The sequence below is a fragment of the Homo sapiens genome, chromosome 12 (genome assembly GCF_000001405.40).
Source record: "Homo sapiens chromosome 12, GRCh38.p14 Primary Assembly".
Lineage (NCBI taxonomy): Eukaryota > Metazoa > Chordata > Mammalia > Primates > Hominidae > Homo > Homo sapiens.
The window spans coordinates 109150893-109171573 of record NC_000012.12 but is presented as its reverse complement, the minus strand read 5'-3'; the positions used below and the strand labels follow the sequence as shown (position 1 = coordinate 109171573).

At 46.7% G+C, this 20681-nt stretch overlaps 1 protein-coding gene across 18 annotated transcripts in view, besides 1 other annotated feature; it reads right to left on the bottom strand.

Annotated features, from left to right (window-relative positions):
- Window positions 1-20681, bottom strand: part of ACACB (acetyl-CoA carboxylase beta) — a 157038-nt gene that overhangs the window by 96653 nt on the left and 39704 nt on the right. For 13 of the 18 annotated variants that reach the window (XR_007063072.1, XM_047428764.1, NM_001412734.1 and 10 more), the window contains 2 exons: window positions 4581-4713; window positions 3540-3678 (listed from right to left, as the gene is read on the bottom strand). Coding sequence is in view for 17 of the 18 variants with exons in the window: in XM_047428764.1 (XP_047284720.1) it covers window positions 3540-3678; window positions 4581-4713 (272 nt within the window). In the remaining variant the exon portion in view is untranslated. Of the gene's footprint in view, window positions 1-3539; window positions 3679-4580; window positions 4714-16633; window positions 16896-20681 lie in introns of those variants that run through there. The other 5 variants (NM_001412736.1, NM_001412738.1, NM_001412739.1 and 2 more) reach the window with 1 other exon arrangement.
- Window positions 16920-17079: a silencer, noted in NCBI's record as "silent region_4839". NCBI's record gives its function as "represses an Ori minimal core promoter by ATAC-STARR-seq in GM12878 lymphoblastoid cells {active_cell/tissue: GM12878}" and the evidence as "EXISTENCE:reporter gene assay evidence [ECO:0000049][PMID:35858748]".

The following is a 20681-nucleotide window of genomic DNA, read 5'->3' as shown; positions in this document are numbered from 1 at the left end:
GTTCGAAACCGGCCTGGGCAACATGGTGAAATTCTGTCTCTACTAAAAATACAAAAATTAGCCAGGCGTGGTGGTGGGCACCTGTAATCCAAGGTACTCAGGAGGCTGAGGTAGGAGAATCGCTTGAACCCAGGAGGCGGAGGTAGCAGTGAGCTGAGATCACACCACTGCACTCCAGCCTGGGTGACAGAACGAGACTCTGTCTAATAAAAAAAAAAAAGAAAGAAAATGTAAAGAAAATGAAATATGATTTTAATTATGTGATACAGATATGTTTCTGGACAAGGCCTGGAAGGCCTGGAAAGGAACGAAGGAAGAAGGAAGTAATCTGTCAACAGACTGGGATTAGAGGTGGGTTTTTAAAAAAAGTCCTATTTAAAGTTTATCTTAATATTGTTTTACCATTAAATAATATAATAGGGCTGGGCACGGTGGTGCACGCCTGACATCCCAGCACTTTGGGAGGCAGAGGCAGGAGGATCACTTGAGGCCAAGAATTCAAGACCAGTTTGGGCAACACACAGAGACTTTGTCTCCACAAAAAAAAAAAAAAAAAAAAATCCAAAAAAAGTAGCCAGGAATGGTGGTGCATGCCTATAGTCCCAGCTACTTGGGAGGCCAAGGCAGGAGGATCACTTGAGCCTAGAAGGTCGAGGCTACAATGAGTCGTGATCATGTCACTGCGCTCCAGCCTGGGTGACAGAGCAAGGCCCTGTCTCAAAAAACAAACAAACAAACAAAAATACAATACAGAGTTTTAAATTATGGTAAAAAAAAAAACACACACAAAATTTACCATCTTAACCATTTTTGAGTGTACAGTTCAATAGTGAAGTATATTTATATTGTGAAACAGATGTCCACAACTTTTTCATTTTATGAATCTGAAGCTCTATACTCATGAACAACTCCCTTTCTCTCCCTCCCTCATGTCCTTGGCAACCAACGATCTTCTCTCTCTCTATGAATTGCACTACTCTAGTTACCCCTTCTACATGGAATCATGCAGTATTTGTCTTTTTGTGACTGGCTTATTTCACTTTTTGTGACCAGCATAACGTCCTCAAGGTTCATCTGTGTTGTAACATATGACGGGATTTCCTTCCTTTTTAAGGCTGAACATAACGCAATGTTTTGATTTTAAAATACTCATGCTCTTTAAGCCAGAAGTTCCATGTCTAGGAATATGTCCTTAAAAAAACACACGCTGGCTGGGCGCGGTGGCTGACACCTGTAATCCCAGCACTTTGGGAGGCTGAGGCGGGCAGATCACCTGAAGTCAGGAGTTCAAGACTAGCCTGGCCAACATGGTGAAACTCCATCTCCACTAAAAATACAAAAATTAGCCAGTCGTGGTGGTACATGCCTGAAGTCCCAGCTACTTGGGAGGCTGAGGCACAAGAATTGCTTGAACCCGGGAGGTAGAGCAAGACTCCATCTCAGAAAAAAAGCAACAACAAACAAACAAACAAAAACCCACACATCAATGAGGCCAAAGTCAGAGAACAGCCACTGAGCAGTGTTTTGGACTAGGAAAAGTTAGACTCAATCCAAACACAGGGGTTGGGACATCTGTACTATAGAATTGCTAAGATCCTGAAATTGAACAATGTGGCACTTTATATGCAAACACAGAAAGAAATCCCAGAGCAGCTGCTCCTTCCGGCCTGCCTGCCTCCTATGTTTATCAAACACAGAAGTGTCGGCCAACGGGGAGATTCCAGAGATGATGAAGTGAGCGGCCAGACAGGCTTCCTGGTCCTTGTCCAGTTTTTCTTTTATGTTGGAGAAGATAAACAAGAAAATAAACACAATAACTACAGACTCCGGTCAGTGCTGGGAAGAAAATAAATGAGGTTCTCTGAGAGAGATGCGATGATCATGTTGAGACCTACAGGCTGGGTGGGGAGGGAGTCCACTGCACAAAGGGCTCTGGGAGAAGCACCTTCAATAGAGGTTCCAGCAGGTGCCAAGACTCTGCAACAGGCCCAGGAGCTACCAGAGGTCAGGGTGACTGGTACCCGGCTGATGGAGGGCAAGAGGTTCAAGATGGAGCCAGGAGGGGACTTAATAGGCCTGGGTGACAATTTTGAATTTTAGACTAACCAAGATGGGAGGACCCACTGGATGATGCTCTGAACCCAGACCAGGGTTCCCATCCCACCCGCATCACATGATGGTTGTGTGACCCTGGACAAGTGATAAATTCACATCCCTGTGCCTCGACTGTGCCATCTGTAAAACAGAGCTGTAAGTAACAAATGAGGCCATGTCTGTGAAGAGCTTGGGGCAGGAAGGCTTAGGGGATGGTGCTGAGGTTGCTAATATTGGGAACAGCACACAGCCTCTGATGCATTTTAAGGAGAAGCACAAAAAGACCTGAAGACCTGACTTATGTTGGTTTTTGTTTTGCTTTTTTTTTTTTTTTTTTGAGACAGTCTCACTCTGTCGCCCAGGCCGCAGTGCAGTGGAGTGATCTCAGCCTACTGCAACCTCCGCCTCCTGGATTCAAGCAATTCTCCTGCCTCAGCCTCCTGAAGAGCTGGGACTACAGGCACCTGCCACCATGCCCGGCAAATTTTTGGGAGGTATTTTTAGTAGAGATGGGGTTCCACCACATTGGGCAGGCTGATCTCAAAACTCCTGGCCTCAAGTGATTCGCCCATCTTGGCCTCCCAAAGTGCTGGGATTACAGGCGTGAGCCACTGTGCTCGGACCTGAGTTATGCTTTTAGGTTTATGTTGTTTTATTTGAGACAGAGTCTCAGTCTGTTTCCCAGGCTGGAATGCAGCGGTGTAATCACAGCTCACTGCAGCCTAGACCCCCTGGGCTGAAGCGATCCTCCCACCTCAGCTTCCTGAGTAGCTGAGACTACAGGTGCGTGCCACTATACCCAGTTAATTTTTTTATTTTTATTTTTTGTAGAGACAGGGTCTTATTATGTTACCCAGGCTGCTCTCAAACTCAAGGGCTCAAGCAATCCTCCCACCTTAGCCTCCCAAAGTGCTGGGATTACAGGGGTGAGCCAGCGCTCTGGCTGAGGTTTTTGTTTTTAACAACCTTCAGAAAATACAGCAGAAGAAGTTATGCTTTTAAAAGGTCACTTTGGCTGCTGTGGGGAGTAGGGCCTATAAAAGGATAAGACTGTTCAGGAAAAAAGTAAATCATCCAACAGTTGTTTATAGAATGATTCATTATAATAAACTTAGGCAAATGAACGGAAGAATGAACAAATGATTGAAATACAATTACATACACCTGCAGGAGAAACAGCCCCCAATCTGCTAGAACACAGACATTTCTCAAAGATCGAATTTCCTCTCTGCATGTTAACCATCTGCATTTTTGTAAGGCACATGAGTTGTTCTTGATGTCAGCAGACATTTTAATTAAATAAAGAAGGAAGGACAAATAAATACAGACTCATGAGAGGTCCTGACCATCGGGAGTCCAGGATGGACTTGCCTAGGCACAGGGGAAGGAGGCGAGGGCAGGCAAGGATGGAGCGTGATGGGAGGAGAGGGTCAAGGCCCAGGTACCTGCGTTGGCCTTAAGGTCCTCGGGGGTCACCATCACAACAAACCGGATGGCCCGCTCGTTGCGGAACATCTCATAGGCCCACCTGCGGATGGAGCGCATGCACTTCACGGCGGCAATCCCGTTGTTGGCAATAAGCACCTGCATGGGAAGACAAGGAAGGAGCTGTAGATGCACATCTACCTGCGCTGGGGGCCACGTGCTACCCCGAGTCCACCTCACAGCTGCAGAGCCTCCTGCAGCCCCCGCAGCACATCATTCCTCTTGGTATTTCTATGTATTTCCATGGCACACACCCCAGCACAGAGCAGGAGCTCAAAGTCTGCCATCCACATGAATGGATCATCAAATGGATGGATGGATGGATGGCTGTTTGTCTGAAATATATATATATATATATATATATATATATATACACATACATATATTTTTTTTTTTGAGACAGAGTCTTGCTCTGTCACCCAGGCTGGAGTACAGTGGTGCAATCACAGCTCACTGCAGCTTCGACCTTCCAGCTTCAAGTGATCCTCCCACCTCAGCCTCCCGAGTAGCTGGGACTACAGGTGTACACCACCACATCCTGCTAATTTTTTAATTTTTTTGCAGAGACAGGATTTTGTCATGTCGTCCATGCTGGTCTTGAACTTGAACACAAACCCAGGCTGGGCCCAAATGATCTGCCCACCTCACCCTCCCAAAGTGCTGGGATTACAGGCATGAGCCACTGTGCCGAGCCCAGTGAATGATTTTTTTTTTATTCCTTTGGTGTCATTGTGATCACCCTTAACACTTTTTGAGTGTTTTACAGTACAATGTGTTTTACCTGTCTTATTTCATTTCATCCTCACAATAGCCCTTTGAAAGAGGCTTCACTATTATTTCTATTTGAGGGTTAAACTATTAAAACTCAGAGGAGCGTGGCCCTCACCCCCTCTCTGCAGCAGGCAGAATGAGCCTGAACCCGAATCTCCCACCTCCAGCTGAGAGGAGGGGCCCCTGCACCCCAATCGGACCCCACCCAGAGTGCCGAGACCCATCTGTACCTTCTCGATGACCCGATCCCCCCCAAAGCGTGTGACAAACTCAGCGGGAGAAGCCACGGTAAAGTCTCTGTGCAGGTCCAGCTTCTTGTGTTCCCGTCCCCTCTTCACCAGGTGGAGTCCCGACATGCTCGGCCTGCAGAATAAGAATGAGGGACAGACGTGCATGAGGGAAGAAGCCTGGGACTCAGAGCTCGGCACCTGTAAAGCCAGTGGAGCAGAGGAGCCAAACTGCACCAGAGCCCCCCTGCTTTGCACTTGCTCTCCAGAGCCCCTGAAGCAATTTACAAGGAGGCTCAAGGGCAGGAAGCACCTTCGGTTTTTTTTTTTTTTTTTTTTTTTTTTTTGAGACGGGATCTCATTCTGTCACCTAGGCTAGTATGCAGTGGTGCAATCGTGGCTCGCTGCAGCCTCGACCTCCTTGGGTAGCTGGGACCACAGAGGGCACTACCAAGCCCAGCCGACTTTTAAACATTTTTGTAGAGATGGGGTCTCACTATGTTGCCCAGGCTCGTCCAAACTCTTGATGTCAAGTGACGTCAAAGCCTTTCAAAGCATTGGGATTACAGGCGTGAACCACTGTACCCAACTGAAAGCACCTTAAGAGGCCAGCTAAGGTACCAGCACATGAACTAGAAGGAGCAGTTTCTTCTACCTGTCCCAAGGTGGATGTTTAGATTTTTAATCCTAAGTTAATTTTTACTTTACATGCCCATTGTTTAGGAACCTGAATAATACTAAAAAACTTATAACAAGGGTGAGAGTTTTATGATCAGGGAAGAAGTCCACACATTCTAATCGTTCCGACTTGTTACATGGTATTAATATCTTTCATGTACTTTTCTACATTTGTATTTCAGAAGTTTTTAAGTTTTCTTTTTTGTAGAGACAGGGGTCTCACTTTGTTGCCCAGGCTGGTCTTGAACTCCTGGCTTCAAGTGATCCTCCCACCTCGGCCTTCCAAAATACAGGCATGAGCCACCACGCCCAGCCCACAAAATTTCTTTAGAAAACTGAAAACAATTTTTTAAATGTTTAACAACAAAACAGGTTTCCTGCTCTGTCCCTCCACACCAGAGGAAACTGATGCTGATTTTTTCTAGCAATTACACATCTCCATAGTCCTAAACAACAAGTGTATGCAATCTTGTGAGTCATCCATGTGAGACAGCATCTATGGCCTTCCCATCCTGAGAGATGTGAATTTAGTTATCTCACAAGGCCACCCCATCGGCTCCCCTCCACCAGCTGGTCAATACCATAGAAGTCTACTGTAATTTAGCAAACTGGGTATTCAATGTTTTACTTGTTTGTGATCATTATTCACATATGAAGTTTGTGATCATTATTCACATATGAGAGCTGCAGTGTACCAGATTTTAGTTCCTTTCTTTTTGCCTTTTCCTGGAGTTAATGATTTTTTTCCTTTACTTAGTGTTCCTTGTACCTGTTGCTAAATCACCCCACTCCTCCTAATAGATTCCCAGTACACATAAGATAATTGATCAGGCCACATGCAGTGGCTCATACCTGTAATCCCAGCACTTCGGGAGGCCAAGGCAGGAGGACTGCTTGAGACCAGGAGTTCGAGACCAGCCTGGGCAATGTAGCAAGACCCCATCTCATTAAAAATAATAATAATAAATAATTGATCAGTTCTGTTTTTTTCCACTGGTGACATCTCTCCTGAAGGCCTCTGTTCTCCTTCCGTAGGTACTGGCTGTCCTCTAGGCCCCTACATCACCATTGTTTTGGGGCTTCCCTTTGCTGACATCCCTAGAATTCCCTTTGCCTTTCCTTGGGGTTGGATTCCTAATTTGGGGGAATGGGTGGCTCGTCTTTCTTGGTAGACTCCCTTGTTTTGCTGGGGCATATCCTCCAGTAGTTTCATCCACTTAAGAAGATGGTAGAATGGCAAGGCGCATGACAATGATGCCCTCAATTTCCCTGCCCTATTCCTGACTGGGCTTCCTTATCACCATCACCCTGGAGACTCCCTTTCAGTCTATGTTGAATCTCCTGTTTCCTGTCTCCTGTGTGTTGCTCTTCCTTGGTTTACCCTCTGGTTTCAGTGGAAGACATCCTCAAGTAGCTTTCTAAGAAAGGCTATTCAGGGCCAGGCGTGGTGGCTCACACCTGTAATCCCAGCACCTTGGAAAGCCGAGGAGGGAGAATTGCTTGAACCCAGGAGGTGGAGGTTGCAGTGAGCCGAGATTGCACCACTGCACTCCAGACTGGGCAACAGGGTCAGACTCCATCTCAAAAAAAAAAAAAAAAAATTTAAATTAGCTAGGCATGGTGGCACCTGCCTGTAGTCCTAGCTACTCAGGAGGCTAAGGTAGAAGGATCACTTGAGCCCAGGAAGTCAAGGCTGCAGTGAGCTAGGATTGCACCATTGCACTTCAGCCTTTCTCCTGCCCTCACATTCAACCTTACCACTTGGCTGTGTGTGAAATGCTAGGAAGGGCCAGGCATGGTGGCTCATGCCTGTAATCCTAGCACTTTGGGAGGCTGAGGTGGGTAGATCACTTGAGGTCAGGAGTTTGAGACCAGCCCGGCCAATATGGTGAACCCCATCTCTACTAAAAATACAGAAGTTATCCAGACACAGAGTTGTGCACCTGTAATCCCAGCTACTTGGGAGACTGAGGCAGGAGAATTGCTTGAACCCAGAGAATGGAGGTTGCAGTAAGCCGAGATCGCGCCACTGGACTCCAGCCTGGGCGACAGAGTGAGACTCTATCTCAAACAAAAAGAAATTTCAGGAAGGAAAACCTTCTTCAAGTTTTAGAAGCCTTGTGCCATTGTGTTGTGGCTTCCAAGGCTGCTAGAACAAGAGTAATTCTGATCCTTGATCCTTTGTAGGTGACCTGTTTTTTCATATCCAGATGCTTATAGGAGCGTCCCTCTGTCCCCAGAACTCTATGATTTCACAGTGATGAGCTCAAGTATGTGTCTGCTTCCACCAATGAGGCTGCACATCTCTCAGGCCCTCTCAATCTGGAAACTTCCATCCTGGGAATTTGTCTTCAAATACTTCCTTGATGGGCTGAACATGGTGGCTTACGCCTGTGATCCCAGCACTTTTGGAAGCTGAAGTGGGAAGATCACTTAAGGTCAGGAGTTAGAGACCAGCTTGGCCAACATGGTGAAACCCCGTCTCTACTAAAAATACAAAAATTAGCCGGGCATGGTGGTGTGCATCTGTAATCCCAGCTACTTGAGAGGCTGAAGCAGGAGAATCACTTGAACCCAGGAGGCGGATGTTGTAGTGAGCCAAGATTGTGCCACTGCGCTCCAGCCTGGGCAATAGAGTGAGACTCCATCTCAAACAACAACAACAACAACAAGAAACAAATACTTCCTTGATGATGTCCTTGCCTCTTTTTTTCTCTATTTTTTCCCGAAGTCCTATTATCTGGATGTTGAAATTCCTACACTGGCCTACTGGTTTATGCATTTTTCCCCTCTCCTATTCTCTCTCTTCTTCTACTTGCTGGTTGATTTTTCTCAGCCTCATCTTCTAAACATTCAGTGGAGTTCTTCATTTCTGCTATCATGTTTTTGATGTCTACGAGCCTGTTTTTGGCCTACAAATGTTCCCTTTGTTATAGCATCCTCTTCCTATGAGTGCAACATCCTGTCTGACCTCAACGATGATATTAATGAGAGCTTTTTAAACTTCTCTTCTCCAGCGTGGTTTCTGTTTCTTCCAAGCTTCCTGTGTCTACTGGTTTGGACCTTGACTTACATATGAGAAACTGGACCTCAGGGCCGGGTGCAGTGGCTCACGCCTGTAATCCCAGCACTATGGGAGGCCGAGGCAGGTGAATCACCTGAGTTCAGGAGTTTGAGAGCAGCATGGACAACATGGTGAAACCCCATCTCTACTAAAAATACAAAAAATTAGCCGGGCTTGGTGGCGTGCACCTGTAATCCCCCCTACATGGGAGGCTGAGGCAGGAGAATCGCTTGAACCTGAGAGGCGGAGGTTGCAGTGAGCTGAGATTGTGCCATTACACTCCAGCCTGGGCAACAAGAGCAAAACTCCATCTCAAAAAAGAAAAAGAAAAAGAAACTGAACCCAAATGTCAGGGAAGCCTTGGTTCCAACCTTGTGACTATGAGTGAGAACAGAATTTCTGAGACTGTGGTGGACCTGGTTGACCCTGAGCTCAATGTAGGGTGAGGTAGGAGTGCGTTGGGGATCCCCTGAGTCAGTATCTTTGTGTCTTTCTCTCTCGCTGGCCAGATTCCCCAGGGAGAAGTTTTCCAGTCTTCTGCCTGGACAGTAAAGGTCAGCCTGGAGCCCCGGGGGGAACGGGGAAGTTCTAAGAATTCAGCACCTATTCAGACCCTTATCTTCCTATTTGGGATACAGGCCCCATGCCCTCAACTGTGCCTGTCGATCCCCTCTCCCAAGACCCTCTATATGTACCTTTGAACTGCTGCCTTCTGTTGGGGTCGAAGTGGACAGCCCCTGCCGCAGGAGACAGGGGAGGGGACCTGGGAGTCTTCCACCCTGTCCTTCTCATTTTGGTACCCTCCTTACCCCTCAGCTCCAGGGGCATCCCTTGCTGCCAGACACTATGCCTTTTGGGGGTTCTGTGGTACAGATGGCCAGGGGTCCCCAACTTTCCTCACTGCTCCATTAGGACTCAGCCTTAAGCCAGTGACCACTCATTCATCTGCTTTCTAGCTTCTAAAAGGTTAATGCTACGCTGGGCACGGTGGCTCACGCCTGTAATCCCAGCACTTTGGGAGGCGAAGATGGGCAGATAACTTGAGGGCAAGAGTTTGAGACCAGCCTGGCCAACATGATGAAACCCCATCCCAACTAAAAAAACACAAAAAGTAGCTGGGCATGGTGGCGCACGCCTGTAGTCTCAGCTACTGGGGAGGCTGAGGCACAAAAATCACTTGAACCCGGGAGGCAGAGGTTGCAGTGAGCTGAGATCACACCACTGCACTCCAGCCTGGGCAACAGAGTGAAACTCTACCTAAAAAAAAAAAAAAAGAGAACTTCATTTATTTACAAAAAAAGGTAGATGCAACCCAAGGGACATCATTTGTAGACAGACCCCTGATCTGGGGGAAAAAAATGCTAAAGTATTAAGAGCCGTTATCTCTTTGCTATATTTTAAAAAATGTTCTGCAATGATGTGTTATTTTCAATAAGAAAAAAGCTATTAATTTTGTAAGAGGAACACCCATGTATACATGTAGGTATACACACACACACACACCACACACACACATACACACAAAAGAATACTACTGAGCCATAAAAAATTATATATATATATACACCAAATTTTCTGTATCTAGTCATCTGTTGGTGGACACTTAGGTTGATTCCATATCTTTGCTACTGTGAATAGTGCTGTGATAACTATACAAGTACAGGTGTCTTTTGATATAATTATTTCTTTATTTTATTTTATTTTATTTTTCTGAGACTGCGTCTCACTCTGTCGCCCAGGCTGGAGAGCAGTGGCATAATCTCGGCTCTCTGCAACCTCCACCTCCCAGGTTCAAGCAATTTTCCTCCCTCAGCCTCCCGAGCAACTAGGGTTACAGGTGCCCGCCACCATGTCCGGCTAAATTTTGTATTTTTAGTAGAGACGGGGTTTTACACGTTGGCCAGAGTGGTCTTGAACTCCTGACCTCAAGTGATCTGCCTGCCTCAGCCTCCCAAAGTGCTGGGATTACAGGCGTGAGACCCCACAACTGGACTCCTTGCTAATTTTATTTATTGTTTTCAACCAATCATGTTAAGATCCTCCCAATGAAAAGCGAATCTGACTGAGTGATTTCTTTTCCTTTGTGTACATACCCAGTAGTGGGATTGCTGGAGAGACTGGCAGATCTATTTTAGTTCCTTGAGAACTCTCCAAACTGTTTTCCACAGAGGTTGTACTAATCGACATTCCCACACACAGCCGCACCCCTCATTCTGTCCACGACCTTCCCTGACTGGCTGGCTTGATGGTTCAGCTTCAGAAAGTCTGAGACATCCCATTTCTACACACACAAACATTAAAACTCTAGCAATTTGACCTAAAGCACAACAAAGAAAAACTTCATTTGTGGCCTAGGGGGCAAAAAAACCATTCTTGGCCACCATGTTGATTTCGAAACTGGTGACAGAGCCCCTCCATCAGGCAGGCCACAAGCCCATTACCGCAGGCTAGGCAAGCGAACACACAAAGCTGCCGGACTGGCCTTGTTTCAGGCCCAATCTCCAGGCAAGTGGCTATTTTAATTCTTTTTGATAAAGCTGGAAGCCAACCAACATTGGCTCTAGAGAGCTGACCTTCGGCCAGCATTTGCTTCCACTGAAGGAGGATCATCCTAAGTGCCATTGTCCAGTGAGAAGCCCTGTCCTTATACAGCACGGCAAGGGTGAGAGCTGAAATGTTTCAAGGTGACTTTGGAAATGACTTCAGGTACAATCAACAGCAGAGGTGTCAGCCAAACACCAAATGCAGTCAGCTGCCGGAGCACAAGACCAGGCAGAATAGTATCAGGAATGGAGGAAATAAACATTCTCGGCTGCCCACTATGGACTGGGCACAGGGGGCCTCTCAGTGAATCTCCACAGCCCTGTATGGAGGAGTCTGTCATCTCCAGGTTCACGATGAGGAAACCGAGGTTCAGAGAGGACCATTTACCTCCAGTTTCACAGCTGGCAAGTGGCAGAGCCCCGTTTCAAATCCAACTCTAGCTGACCTCAGAATCTAACTTCTAGGCAGAAAGACAATCTGAGATAAATGGAAGCCCCTCTATTAACTGGACTTTTAAAACATGCATTACACATATGGCCTCTTATATTCCTCTCAAATAAGAGACAAACATGTATAATGCTGAGGTTTTTTGTTTGGTTGGTTGGTTTTTTTTTTTTTTTTGAGACAGAGTCTAGCTCTGTCACCCAGGCTGGAGTGAAGTGGCACCATCTCGGCTCACTGCAACCTCTGCCTCCCAGATTCAAGCGATTCTCCTGTCTCAGCCTCCCGAGTAGCTGGGACTATAGGTGCCTGCCACCATGCCTGGCTAATTTTTGTATTTTTAGTAGAAATGGGGTTTCACTATGTTGGCCAGGCTGGTCTCGAACTCCTGACCTCAGGTGATCTGCCCACCTTGGCCTCCCAAAGTGCTGGGATTACAGGGGTGAGCCACCGCGCCCAGCCCTGAGTGCTTAACTGGGGGAAATTTTGCTCCCCGGGGAGCAATACCTGGAGACATCTTTGATTGTCACAACTTGGGGGATGCGCTACTGGCATCTAGTGGGTGGAGACCAGGGATGCTGCTCAACACCCTGCAATGCACAGGACAGCCCCACAAAGAACTGGACAGCCCCAAGTGTCAACAGAGCCGCAGTTTAGAAACTCTGGTAGACTGCGGCCATCCTCCTAGGCTTTGAAGCCAGAATCTACCGCTTATAACCTGTGTAATCCTGGGAAAGTTACTTCAATACTCCCTGCCTCAGTTTCCTCACATGATGGAATTAACAGTTTATCCCTGGACCTAGCCAAAGTAAACAGCTTGCAACACTTTAGCTACCATGTACGTCTGCAGGATAGCATTACAGGAGCCCAGGCTGGGCCATTAGGCTAGGGCCCCGGCATTAATCAGACCTTCAATTTCTTCCCTCTCTTTTCTTCTATAAAATAGAGATGGTAACGGCTACCCGCACTGCTAAGAGCTGATTCTGAGCCAGGCAATTCTGTAATTACAACTACTTCCAAACAAGAAAGCAAGAAAGAACACTGTGTAGCCCAGTAAAGGTTGATATCGTTCAAACAGCACAAAACCACGCTCTCCAGAAATGGACCCTTGGAAATTTCTCAAGCCACCTGCCCCATCAGTACCCCCTGGGATGACTACCTTGGCTAGGCCAGGGGTGAGTGGGCAAACTAGGACCCATGGGTCAAATCCACTCGGCCACCTGTTTTTGTATCTCCCACAGGCTAAGAGCGGTTTTAACTTTTTAGATTGTTTTTTGTTTTGTTTCGTTTGTTTCGAAAGGGAGTCTTGCTCTGTCGCCCAGGCTGGAGTGCAGCGGTGTGATCTCAGCTCACTGCTACCTCCACCTCTCAGGTTCAAGTGATTCTCCTGCCTCAGCCTCCCGAGTAGCTGGGACTACAGATGTGTGCTACCACGCTCTGCTAATTTTTGTATTTTTATTAGAGACAGGGTTTTACCATGTTGGCCAGGCTGGTCTTGAACTCCTGACCTCAGGGCGATCTGCCCACCTTGGCCTCCCAAAGTGCTGGGACCACAAGTGTGAGCCACCGCACCCAGCCTTATTTGTTTTTTATAGAGACAGGGTCTCCCTCTGTTGCCAGGACTACAGTGCAGTGGTGCAAAAATAGTTCACTGCAGCCTCAAACTCCTGGGCTCAAGTGATCCTCCCACCTCAGCCTCCTGAGTAGCTGGGACTGCAGGTGTGCACCACCATGCCCAACTAATTGGTTTATTTTTGTAGAGACGGGGTTTCATCATGTTGCCCAGACTGGTCTCAAACTCCTCAAGCAACCCTCCTGTCTTGGTCTTCTAAAGTGCTGGGACTATAGACATAAGCCACCATGCCCAGCCAACATTTTTAAGTCATCGAAAAAAAAAAAAAAATCAAAAGAATCCTGTTTTGTGACACATAAAAATTATATGAACTTTGAATTTCCCCATCTATAAATAATGTCTGATTGAAACACAGCCAGGCCTGTTCAATTACATAACTATGGCTTCTGGTGCAGGAAACAGCAGAGTTGAGTAGTTACAACAGAGACCACATGGCCACAAAGCCAAAAATATTTACTGTCTGGCCGTTTATAATAGCAGTCTGCTGACCCCAAGCTAGGCACGAGTTTTCAACCCTGACATGAAAAACTTTATAAGATTCTGATGTCGGGGTCCCATCAGCATGTCTAGGGGGTAGAGGTGGGGTCCCCGGCATCCAGATTTTTCAAAAATCTCCCCACCAGGAAATTCTAATGTGTAGCCAAGAGTGAAAACCCCTGATAGGTCTACAGCCAATATTTGCATGCAGGCAGCTGGCCTTTCAGAGCAGAATTGCATGGCAGTGAAATGGGACTCATTAAAAAACAACTTCTGCCTCCTCATCCCCAACTTTATTTCAAGCCCTTCTGCACTCTGATCCACAATCATTTCTCTACTCTCTGAACTGTGACCCCGTTCTCATGCCATGAAAAATCAGTCATCATTTGCGACCTCACCTTCTCAGGAGTTCTGGCTTCTTAGATGGCCCGAGCCTTCAGCACAAGATCCCAAATGCCTCCCAACTCCAGAGGGCTCTTTCATAACCGAACTCTGTCTTTACTTATTAGTTTTCATCAATGTTTGTGCTGACCCAGGGCAGTACTCAAGACCAGCGACTTCCACACAGAGTCTCAACGGACCAAGAAAGAGCCGGGCATGGTGGCTCATGCCTGTAATCCCAGCACTTTGGGAAGCTGAGTTGTGAGGATTGCTTAGCTCAAGAGTTCAAGACCAGCCTGGGAAACATGGTGAAACCCTGTCTCTCTAAAAAATACAAAAATTAGCTGGGTGTGGTGGCGCATGCCTGTGGTCCCACTACTTGGAAGGCTGAGGTGAGAGGACTGCTTGAGCCCGGAGGCTGAGGCTGTAATGAGCCATGATCATGCCACTGTCTGGGCAACAGAGCAAGACCCTGTCTGTAATAATAATAATAATAATAATAATAACAACTCTAGAAAGGCCTATGAGGGCTAGTCCCTTGGACAGATGTGGAAACTGAGGTTCCAAGGCTTGATGGTACCTGCTCCAGAAGATCACACAGCTTGGTGGCAAAGTTAGATCGTCCAAATCCATCTTTTTAGCCACTCTAAGCTAAGAGAGGAACAATGTAGTCCCCCAACAAAGTATGTCCATATTATTATAAATAGGGGGACCCCACGTCCTGGACTTGCTGGGACAATTCCAAATTTGTGTGAGGTTTTTCTTTTTTTCCATTAAAGTGGTTTGTGAAATGGGTACAACACTCTCCACTTAGTGCCCCCACAGTGGTATTTTGAAGATGGCATGAGACCACACCTACAAAGCACTTGGCCTGGCATACTGAAAGCACCCCATGAGTGGTAGTGGCTATTACTGTTGCACCCATCAGCCTCGAATTGGAGTTACTGAGAAGACATCTGCCTTCCACAATGGAACCGAAGTTCCTGGAGGGCGGAGGTCACGGTTTCCAACCATTTTTGCGACCCTTCCTGCTACCAGTTGCAGGCCTTATGCATGGGAGGTGTGCATGAATGTTTATGGACCAGGTAAACATATCCTAAGAAAATAAAGGATGGAGGCAGAGATTCAGCTACAGGGGTATTCCTCACTGTGCTGTTGATAATAGCCCCCCCCCAAAAAAAAAAAAAAAAACAGAGAGAAACAGCCTGAATATCCGCTACTTATAGGGGATTACTTATACTTTTTTTTTAAGAGACAGGGTCTTGCTCTGTTGCCCAGGCTGGAGTGCAATAGCACAACCATTGCTCACTACAGCCTCGATCTCCCAGGCTCAAGCAATCCTCTTCCCTTAGTCTTTCCAGTAGCTGAAACTCCAGGCATGCATCACCATCCTCAGCTAATTTTTTTTTAAGTAGAGATGGGGGTCTCACTATGTTGCCCAAGCTGGTCTCGAACTCCCGAGTTCAAGCAGTTCTCCTGCCTTGGCCTCCCAAAGCGCTAGGATTACAGGCATGAGCCACCACACCTGGGCACATTTTTTTTCAGAGATGGGGTCTTGCTATGTTGCCCAGGCTAGAGTGCAGTGGCTGTTCACAGGAACGATCATAGCACACTGCAGCCTCCAACTCCTGGGCAAAAGCATCCTCCCTCCTCAGCCTCCTGAGTATTTGGGACTACAGGCTTGCACCACCCTGCCTGGCGAGGATTATTCATACATTTTAAGGTGCACCCATTTAAAGGAACACTATGAATCCAGTAAAAGCATGTTGTAGGCAGGGATTGGCAAACATTGTCTGTCAAGGGTCAGGCAGTAAGTACTTTAGATCTGGTCAGTCTCTGTCCCACCACTCAAATCCTCCAGTGAGGCACAAAAGCAGCCATGAACTAGGCATAAATCATAAATCGATGAGCAGGCTGCAGTCCAATAAAACTTTTTTCGTAGACACTGAAATTTGAATTTCATGTAATTTTCACGTGTCACAAAACAATCTTCTTTTGATTTTTTTTTCAATCACTTAAACATGAAAAAACCATTCTCTGCTTGCAGGCCATCCCAAAACAGGCAGTGGGTCATAGTTTGCCAAGCCCAGTGGTAGAAAAATACTTAATGTTGAATGAAAAAGTGAGTTACAGAACGTTCTGCATGATTCAAGTTTATAAATTAAAACATATCTGCACCGGAAAAAAAAAAAAGCTGAAGAATATACAACTGTTAACAAACATCACAGGGGTGGAATTATGGGTGATTTTTGTTCCTCTTTTTTGCTTATCTATAATTTTCTGAATTGTCAACAACAGACACACCATCAATTTGGTAATTCTTTTTAAGTGCAATAAAATGAGGACAAAAAAGGAAAGAAACAAAACCAAGTAGGTAGAGCTACAAAGCACTCAGGCACTGAGATGCCTACGCTCATCTGCTCAGAAAATGACCCTCAATGAGAGCCTGCTCAAGTTCACGTCGATTTGCCCAGGCTTCAGCTTCAAAAGAGACCTGCCTTCCACAACCATCAGCTTCTGGAGGCGAAGGAGAGAAAGCGGGGAAGGCGTGCCCCTGCGCAAGGGCTGATCTTTAGGCACCTGTGTGCTCCGAAGCGACCTCCTCCAAGCAACGTCACCCCCAACGTCCAGCCTCCTTCCTCCCCTCCCGCCAAGGCCAGCTAGAGTTTCCAAGGCGGGCATCATCTCCCCAGCAGCCAACTCAAGCCCGTGTTTCTTTGGATGGGGGTGGGGGTAAAGGGGGCGGTGCTAAGAGGACACACAGCTTGACTTCAAGGGGAAGGAAGACTGCGTAAGTTTGTAAAAGATCATGGTCATTACAATTGCAGGCTTACTTACTTTACTTCGCGATCAGGGAAACAGATCTTGCACTTGGCAGGACTCATGTTGACCACCCCGCAGGCCAATCCCACCGGGCTCCCGCAGGGGTGCAGAGCATGCACCCCTTAACCGCCTGAAGCCGACCCGAGGCCCGGGACCCAGCAGGACAGCCAGGTCGCGACCCGGAGGCCGAGATGCAGTCCTAGAGCGCCGCGGGCGGGGTTCTGCTGCAGCCGGCGGGCGCCCAACTTCGCGCTGCGCTTGCTCCATCCCGAAATGCACCCTGCGCGCCAGAGTCCCGGGCCATCGCGCCCGCCTAGGCCCCACCCAGGCCCCGCCCCCACACCGACCCCGCCCCAGGAGGGCCCCGCCTTCCGGACGGAGCCCCGCCCCCGGGCCGGCCTACCTCCGACCCGCCGCTGAGCTTCGGCAGCCGAAATGAGCTGCGGAGATATATATTTTTAAAGCCTCTCTTCTGCTTTGCTCCCCAATATGGGACACCCCTACATATTGGCAGCAATTGATATGCTTGAATACACACACGATAGGGAAGCGGTGGAAAATATGGGAAATTTAAAATGTGAGTCAGAGGTCGCCACTGTGCCCGTTAAAAGTCCCTGTTGTCAAGTCGACTTTTATTTCCCAAAGTCCTGGTTTCTCTCATCTTTTCACCTCCACTCCCTGGGACAGGTGGCTGCGCAATCACCCAGTGTGCTTCTAGCACGCACTTTGCACCACCTGGGTCCGCTACTGAAGCGAGTGCCTCCAGGACAGGGAGGACCCCAGCAGCCCGGTGATCCGAAATAAACTTCTGGTAAGACTAACATTTACTAAGTGCTCCTTTGTTCCTCTGTGTCACTTAATCCTCGTGGCAATCTTATTGTTTTTATCCCTATAATACAGATAAGGAAACTGGGGCCCAGAGATGCATGTTATCTGAAGTGCCAGAGCCCAGGGTCTTGAACTCAGACAAACCGATTCCAGTTAGAATAAACGAATGAGGCCGGGCCTGGTAGCTCATGCCTGTAATACCAGCACTTTGGGAGGCTGAGGCAGGCGCTTGAGGTCAGGAGTTTGAGGCCGGCCTGGCCAACATGGTGACACCCTGTCTCTACTAATAATACAAAAATTAGCCGGGCATGGTGGTGCACACCTGTAGTCCCAGCTACTCGAGAGACTGAGGAGAGAGAATCACTAAAACCCGAGAGGCGGAGGTTGAAGTGAGCCCAGATGGCGGTACTGCATTCCAGCCTGAGTGACAGAGTGAGACTCCATCTCAAAAAATCAAAAATAAATGAATGAATGCTTCTTCAAGTAATGTAATAAATGCAAAGAACCAAAACACTACCTAGAAGTCATCGCAGTAATAATAAAGGTAGCCTACTTTCATAGCCAACAAACCAACCAAAAATAATGTAAATGCTGGCCAGTAAATTCCCTTCTGGGTAATCACTCTGCGGTTCTCCCAGTGTACACATTAATTAAATTTGTGTGTCTTTTCTCCAACTAATCTGCCTTTTTACAAGTTAATTTTTCAGCGAAACTTCAGAGGGCAAAGCAGAAGATATTCCCTTGGTCCCTACAATCATTATGCATTCTATGCATGTAACAAAATTTTACATGTATCCTATAAATGTGTAAAAATATAATGTATCAGAATCATGAAAACAGGCCAGGCATGGTGGCTCATGCCTGTAATCCCAGCACTTTGGGGGGCCGAGGTGGGCAGATCACTTGAGGTCAGGAGTTCAAGACCAGCCTGGCCAACATGGTGAAATTTCGTCTCTACTAAAACTACAAAAATTAGCTGGGTGTGGTGGCGGGGTGGCCTGAAGTCCCAGCTACTCCAGAGGCTGAGGCAGGAGAATCACTTGAACCCACGAGGCAGAGGTTTAAGTGAGCCGAGATCAGGCCACTGCATTCCAGCCTGGGCAACATTGCAAGACTCTGTCTCAAAACAAACAAAAACATGAAAACAAATTTTAAAATACAATTAAAAATTCACTTCACAGGAAGGCCACGTGCAGTGGCTCACACCTGTAATCCCAGCACTTTGGGAGGCCGAGGCAGGCAGATCACTTGAGGCCAGCAGTTCAAGACCAACCTGACCAACATAGTGAAACCCCATCTCTACTAAAAATATGAAAATTAGCCAGCGTGGTGGTGCATACCTGTAATTCCAGCTACTCAGGAGGCTGAGGCGGGAAGATTACCTGAGCCCAGGTAGCTGAGGCTGCAGTGAGCCATGATCTCGCTACACTCCAGCCTGGGGAATAGAGCAAGACCCTTTCTCAAAAAAAAAAAAAAAAAAAAAAAAAGAAAGAAAGAAAGAAAAGGCACAGGCAGGGCCACACTTCCCGGGGGTGCCAAGTACTTGGCCACAACATAAACACCCTGGGCCCCTGTTTAAGCAGCCATGCCTGACAGCAGTGGATAGCTATGCCCTGACCATATATTAAATAACATTTCAACAACAGGTTTAAGAAAAAAAACAGATAAACAAAATTCTCAGTTCTTCAAGTTTCTGGGAAGGTGTTCACAGCCTTGTCTTCACCTCCTCCAAAAAAGTAACCCACTGTATCCTGATTTTTAGAGATTCAAACCAAAACCAACAAGTATTCATCCCCCAAATATCCCCAGTGTAAATGTAACCACCTCAAAATAGGGAAAGCAATGAAAATCAAGAAATGAAGATATTTCAAAATACCCCAACCCTACCAAAGTCAGTTAGGATCATGCAGAAGAGAACTGCTTGCCAGCATACTTGTATTGCTCTAGATTTTTATTCTCTATTGCAAAAACCCCAACACTACTTAAACACTGTATAGATATTCTCACTTCTCTGCTAATACAGCCTGAAAGACAGCCTCACACATCTCACTATGACCCAGGGTCTCAAATAAGGGATTTCATTTAGATGGGTGGGCTCATCATTTCATCACAGTGATCATGACCTTGCATTTTTCTCTAATTGCATTATTAGGGAATAGAAGACGGAAAGAAATGAATAATATTCAGTCGGTGCAAAACTAATTGCAGTTTCTGCCATTAAAAGGGATTGCAAAAACCACGATTACTTTTGCACCAACCTAATATCCACCTCCAAGCACAACACCACCTTTATACAAACATCCATTGTTGTGCTTTTTGATGAAACAGTTCAAGCATGGTGGTAGTTGCTGTCTCATGCATTAAGCCCTTCCTCTCAGACTTACTAGAAGCTCAATTTTACTTACTGGTATTGCAGAGGGAAAACCCAGGTCAATGAACAATACACACACAAAATCAACAAGAAAATCCGCATGCATGTGGCCAGCAGCGTGGTAGAAAGACTGTGCCATCCATGGGCTTGAACTTACCCTTCCCCTCACGGATGACCTTAAGTAAATCCCGTCTCTCCACTTCCTCAACTATAAAATTATCCACATACAATTTGCCTTCATTTTTGCAGAAAAGCAAAATGAAATAATCTCTTTCAATATATGGGGTGGGGGGGACTGTGTTACATTAAGTATAGAGCAGAAGTGAATAATTTTTCTAAAATAGGGCAATGATGCTTAAGGGGGAGGGGAATGTATGAATGGTTAGTTGCTCTGTACCTTGTATTAACTTAATACAAGAACAACTCAAAGACAGGGATCCTCTTTCCCCCAAGCTCCTAGAAAACATTTTAGGAGGCCGGGCGCAGTGGCTCACACCTGTAATCCCAGCACTTTGGGAGGCCAAGGAGGGCAGATCATGAGGTCAGGAGTTCAAGACCAGCCTGGACAACATGGTGAAACCCTGTCTCTATTAAAAATACAAAAATTAGCTGGGCATGGTGGTGCATGCCTGTAATCCCAGCTACTCGGGAGGCTGAGGCAGGAGAATTGCTTGAACCGGGACCCGGGCGGTAGAGGTTGCAGTGAGCTGAAATTGTGCCACTGCACTCCAGCCTGAGCTACAGAGCGAGACTCCGTCTCAAAAAAAAAAAAAAGAAAGAAAAAAGAAAAGAAAAGAAAAAAAGAAAAAGAAAAAGAAAAAGTAAACATTTTAGGAGCTAAAGAGACTTGAAAAGAGAGTTTCT